This window comes from Homo sapiens, chromosome 9 (genome assembly GCF_000001405.40).
Source record: "Homo sapiens chromosome 9, GRCh38.p14 Primary Assembly".
NCBI classification, from domain to species: Eukaryota; Metazoa; Chordata; class Mammalia; order Primates; family Hominidae; genus Homo; species Homo sapiens.
The window spans coordinates 68,666,299-68,672,836 of NC_000009.12; the positions used below are offsets into that span (position 1 = coordinate 68,666,299).

Below are 6,538 nucleotides of genomic sequence, written 5' to 3' on the forward strand. Positions count from 1 at the left end.
ATCAACAGCAGAAATGTATTGTCTTCACAGATCTGGAGGTTAGAAGCCTGAGATCAAGGTGTCAGATGACTGGTTCCTTCTGGGGGCCGTGTGGGAATCTGTTCTCAGGCTGTCTTCTCCCTGTGTTTTCACACTGTCTTCCCTCTATGCATGCCTAGCTGTAGGTCCAAATTTCCTTTTTATAAGGACACATGCTTAGTGGATTAAGACCCACCCTAAGGACCTCATCTTAACTTGGTCATCTGTAAAGACTCTGCAGTTGATTCTCCATATCCATGGGTTCTGCATTCTTGGATTCAACTAACTGCAGATCGAAAATAGTTGGAAAAAAGAAGAAGAGTTGCATCTCTACTGAACATGTACAGACTTTCTTCTTCTTATTATTCCCTAAACAATACAGTGTAAAACTATTTGCATAGCATTTACTTTGTATTCAGTATTATAGTAATCTAGAGATGATCTAATGTATACGGGAGGATGCACGTACGTTAGAGGCAAACACTATGCCATTTTATATAAGGGACTTGAGCATCCATGGATTTTGGTATCCACAGGGATCCTGGAACCAATCCCCCGTGGATACCAAGGGATGACTATATTTCTAAAAAGTGTTATACTCACAGGTCACAATTTTTGGAGAGACATAATTTAATCCTAAATAGAAGCCAAGATTCCAGATCCTAATTGTTTCTACTCTGCTTCCACATCCCGCAGTGTGACAATCAGGAAAGCCACCATCAAAAAGTCCTGATGCTCATGGTTGGGTGTTGTTGTTTTTGTAAATTGCATTTTATCATTAAGGTCCCCATGTTGGTGGTGGTTTATTGCTTAATGAAATTGCCTCCTCTGTGGGCTTTAATTATAAGGCAGGGAAATGAACAACAGAGAATACAATCTGAGGTGGCAGCCAGGCCATTTTCATTTAAACTTTTTGCAGGTTCCCACTGTGTGCTTTATTCTCATAAACTACAGAATTAAACACATGAGTCCACTGGGCTGGGCCTTACCACTCACTGCTGTCAGAATGAACATCTAGAGTAAATAATGATAGCTCCATCAGACCCACAGATGGGGCTATGTTAAGCTATGTGGCTGGTGCAGTCTCAGCAAGGATGCCTGCCACAGGCTGCCTGGAAGAGGACTCTCTTAAATATCTGCTTGAAGAATTCGGCCTGAGAGTACAAGCAAGTTGTCCACTGCGAAAACTGAACAACAGGCTACTATAGCTGGAAGGATGTTAGTAAGCCTATTCCAAAGGCTCTTAACCTGGATGTGTGGATTAGCTTTTAGGAAGCCACAGCAAACAGTGTTCATGTCCCCCCACCCCCACTCCTCCATCTCCTCGGCCCACCCAGAGGTTACCTTCAGCTTCAGTGAGTAATTCCATAAACCAGCCAGCCTTCCTGGTTGCTGAGGGCTTTGTGTGGCTGCAGGAGCACACCTGCCCAAGGTCAGAGCAGGCTGGGATGGCCTGAGAGTTAACACTATGACCTCCAGCCAATAAAAGATGTGAGTTGGTGAATAAGCACCTAGCTTCTTCACCCCTCGGTGGGACGATTCTGAGGTATGTTCTGCACGTTGTTTTGGAGGGTCCCCAGAGCCAGCGGGCCTCTGTTGTCCACAGTGGTACCCGCTGATGAGCATACCTTTCACCGGCTTTCCTCCCTTTCCTGTCTCAGGCCTCATCATGTTCCCTGGGATTGCCTCCCAGATGAATGACTTGTTCCCAAATCCTTTACCTCAGGGTCTTCTTTTTGAGGGAACCCAAATCAAATCAGGGTATACAAGCCCCTGAAGCTACATGGGAAAGTATTCATGTCTGTGCCATTTTCTGAAAGAGGGCACACAGCTTTCATTAGATCCTCAAAAGCTCTTAGCCAAAACCAAAAAAAAGGGGGTAAGAACCACTGCTCATTATTCCACAGTGAGAGCAGCTATTTCTTCCAGGTCTAATCTAATCACTCTCAACCTGGGGGGCCAAAGGAATGGAGTCAACTTTCAACTAGCTGACAAGTCTGCATGACAAGAGGTGGGGGGAAGAGGTATGCAGAGAGAACAGCCCTGTGTGTGGGAGTACAGAACAGCAAGGGCCTTTCCCAAGGCCAGCATGGTCTCAGGCTAATCTGATGTTTGTGCGTGCATTGTATTTTATATCAAAGGGGAAGGGCCAGTTCCCAAAAGACAAATATGTGATTCCACTTATATGAAGTGCCTAGAGTAGACAAATTCATAGTGACAGAAAGTAGAATGGTGTTTGTCAGGGACTTGGAGGAGAAAGGATGGGAAGTTGTTGTATACCAGGTGCGGGTTTTAGTTTTCCAAGATGAAAAGAGTTCTGGACCGGACGCGGTGGCTCACATTTGTAATCCCAGCACTTTGGGAGGCCAAGGCGGGAAGATCACTTGAACCTAGGAGTTTGAGACCAGCCTGGGCAATATAGAGAGACCCCATCTCTACAGATAGTAGTAATGATTTTAAAAATTAACCAGGGATGGTGGCAGGTGACTGTGGTCCCAGCTGCTTGGGAGGCTGAGTTGGGAGAATCTCTTGAGCCCAGGAGGCTGAGCCTGCAGTGAGCCATGATCACACCACTGCACTCCAGCCTGGGAGACAGAGGAAGACCCTGTCTCAAAAAAAAAAAAAAAAAAAGCAAATAAAAAGAAAAGAGTTTTGGAGATGGATGGTGGAGATGGATGGTGGTGACAGTTGTACAGGAAAGTGAATGTACTTAAAACCAACGAACTACATACTTCAAAATGGTTAAGATGGTAAATTTAAGTTATGTGTATTTTACCACAGTTGTTAAAAAAAAAATGTTTAAAAACCACTGATCTCAATAAACACAACAACAACAACAAAAGCTGTTGTAGCAGGAACTGTGACCCTCCTCATTGGTGCTATCTTTTTGCAGGGTCTGGTGCTCACTGTGTGTAATCGTGACTGCGGGGACCCGCCTATCGGAGTAAATATGTAAAAGGAGGTGAAGAGGTGGGCCTGATCCCTGGCCCGAGGAGTGAATTCAGGCAAAGCCCTTGATGTCTTTGTGCCTAAGTGTCTCTCCAGTTGAGGAAAACAGTCGCTGTTGTTAAGCCTCCTGGGTAGATGCCAAAAGAATGGCCACTCATGAGGAAGAGGGCTGCATTAGGCTGAGAAAGCCGCAGGAAGTGACTGAGAGGGAAGAGAGAAAGGTCAGTGTGTTTGTTGTGTGAAGAGTTGGAGGTCAGTTCTAAGAGACAGAAAAGCAATAAAATCTGGAGATGGAAAATAGCTAGGAAGGAAGTAAGAAATGAAAAGACCCGTGGCGCATACCACTGGCAAAGATGCTTCCTGGCAACAGGTTTCTCAGACTTTGTCCATGAACTCCTGCGGGCCTTCGGACAGACTCTTGGGGATCCTCAATTCTCAACAAAAATTTTCTAATGTTATTTTTTTCTGATTAGGATAATCAAAAAGTGATTTAAGTATGTTCTGCATATGACATTTATGTATGTATAATTGTTAAGCAATTTCCACAAATTAGAGATTTTGACTTTTACTGACTTTTAGTGTCTGAGCACTATTATTATGGATAGCTATGTTCCAATGTCAAATTGTCAGGAAGAAGGCTGTGCCCACCTCTCTCCTCATATCAAAATCCTGTCTGGTGATGATTTGCCATCACAAAACCTATTTCTATAGTAATATTTTAGTCTCTCATGTTATTCAATAACTTGAGACTTTTAGATTTGCCATCATTTACACTAACATACTGTGGTCAAGCAGTAACATACGGCTGCGACTGTTCTAGTGGATGTGAAGTGTAAATGAGGTGCTACAGCCAATGAATGGCCAAAGGACATGGGACTCCTCTGGATGAGCAAAGCTTTCACAGGAGTTTAAATATCCTAGGTAAAGTCAAAGTGACTGCGATAGAAAGAAAACTTGACTGAAGATCAAATTATTCATAAAATTCTATTTCTGATATGTACAGGATTCTGTCAATATTCTTATCAACTCTTTAATAAAACTAGAAATTTGTTTTTGACATCTGCAAGGAAAAAAAGAACCCAGATATGCTGATGCCACCAATAACTAAATTAGACAAACACATTTAGTACACATTTGGTAATTCAGTAAAGCTAAGAAATTTTAAGAGAATGTAACTTTTCAGAGTCTATAAAGCAGTGTAACATTAGAATTGCTTTTTTGTTTTGTTTTCTTTTTTCTTTTTTTCTTTGTTTATTTTAAAATTGCTTTTTAACTTAGGTTAACTATAAGGTATAATAACCCTGAATTAGCAAACAAAAGCTTATTGTTATTAATACTGTTTTGTACAAAATATTTTGCAAATAGGCATTATTCACACTGATATTGTTGAAATAAAAAAACAAGAGCAGGGTAAATGTAGATATGGACTTGTTTTCTTTTTAGTACTAAAGCCTACATCGACAATTTAGTTTTAGCCAAGCAATAATTTCTGTAAAAATAATTTAATATTGTAAATATGAAATTGATTGCTTTTCTTGTTTTGGTTTGCATTTATACTCCTTGCCCTTTTTTCTAGTATGTAAGAGCTACGAGCACAATGAGAATACACCTAGGCTTACTTGTACTTAAATAACATTACAATATAAGTGCTTAAGAGAACCCTAGGAGGCCTATGAGAATTTGTTTTCTCAGAAGTGCTTTGCACATCACTCAAGCTAGACAAATACTGTTTTAGAAACACAGAGGAAGGCAACATCAATGTAGCCTGGGTTGTCAGTGTCAAAAGACCATTCTTCATGGGATTCTTGTTTCCATATATCTTGTGAGCGGAGGCATGGACTATCTTTGTTCTTGGCTAACTTTTCAAGGATTTTTGTATAGTAAACACATTGAGAGAGAGAGGTAATGTCTTTCTAGGAAGCATCAAGCATTGGAGTTTAGAGATAGTAAAAGGGAAGCGTGTTTACCATCCATTATAAAACATGAGGCTGTCCTAAGTTCTCTCTATTCCTCTCCTTATAGTGCAGCTTACTGTGTGTGCTGGTGTCACTTGACCCTCTCCACATTACCCCAGGGGCATCAGGACTTGAAGAACTGGCCCAAAAATGCTGCTACTCTGGCTACTACCATTGCTGTGAGTTAAAAACTGTCCTTTGTCTCTGACCCAGGAGTTCTATGCCTTCTACCAGCATCCATGAAACTTGGCTGGCTAAATTGTTAGCTTTCCAGTAGCTATTATGAAATCTCAGGCCCTTTGTGATTATTTTTTTGTTTGTTGGTTTGGGTTTTGTACATATTTATGGGGTACATGTGACATTGTGTCACATGCGTAGAATGTGTACTTCTACTTCAGGATGTTTAGGAGATCCATCACCATAAACTTTACCATTTCTATGTGTTGAGAACATTTCAAGTTCTCACTTCTAGCTACAATACATTGTTGTTAACTGTAGTCACCTTACTCTACAATTGAATATTACTGCTTATTCCTTCTGTATAACTGTATGTTTGTACCCATTAATCAATCTGTCTTCATCTACACATCTAAATCCTTCCCAGTCTCTTGTCACCACCATTTGATTTTCCACCTCCATGAGATCCATATTTTAAGCTCCCACATATAAGTGAGTACATGCAATATTTATTTCTGTGTCTGGCTTATTTAACTTGATATAATGACCTACAGTTCCATCTATGTTGCTGTAAATGACATGATTTCATTCTTTTTTTGGACAAATAGTATTCCATTGCATAAATAAACCACATTTTCTTTATTCATTCATCCACTGATGGATACAAGTTGATTCCATATCTTTGCTATTGTGAATAAACATGGGAGTGCATGTATCCCTTTGGTACACTGATTTCTTTTCCTTTGCATAAATACTCAGTAGTGGGATTGCTGAATCATACGGTAGTTCTATTTTCAGGGTTTTTTTTTTTTTTTTTTTTTGAGAAATCTCTATATGGTTCTCTGTAATGGTTGTACTAATTTACATTCCTATCAACAATGTATGAGAGTTCTTTTTTCCACACACCCTCACCAGCATCTGTTATTTTGGCCCATGGAGGAAGTGGGGTTTGAGGTGTGACCTGGGTATAATTTGGCTAGATGGATGTGCAGTAGTGCGGGAAGAGCAATCCAGCTAGGTGAATGTCACCAAGACTCAGAGACAGGAATGCACTGTGGTCTGTGGTAGAGTGATGAGTAGGTCAGACAGACTAGAATAGAGAGTTTGGGCTGAGAAGTCCCAGTTAGAAATTAGGCCCTAAATTAGAAAATTAATTTGGGGCTAAATTGTCCTGTGCTTAAATATTAGGGTAAATGAAATCCTATATATAATAAAAAACTTTTGAAGGTTTCTAGCTCTCCTTCCCTGAAGTCATTGATTTATTTGCTTATTTATTTATTTACTTAAGTTCCTAAGCAGGGAGATGATATATTGAATATTGAAGTCTGATGTCATAGAAGAGTGAAGTATGGAGTGATAAGAGAACATCAACAAGTTTCTTATCTTGACTCTGCCACTTACTAGCTGTGTGACCTTGGACAAGTTATTTTCTCTGAGGC

The 6,538-nt window shown here is 40.4% G+C and overlaps 1 annotated feature.

Moving 5' to 3' along the window:
• Positions 2,783–3,335: an enhancer, noted in NCBI's record as "NANOG hESC enhancer chr9:71283997-71284549 (GRCh37/hg19 assembly coordinates)". NCBI's record gives its function as "activates a minimal SCP1, AML or CMV promoter by ChIP-STARR-seq in naive H9 embryonic stem cells {active_cell/tissue: H9 hESC(naive)}" and the evidence as "EXISTENCE:reporter gene assay evidence [ECO:0000049][PMID:30033119]".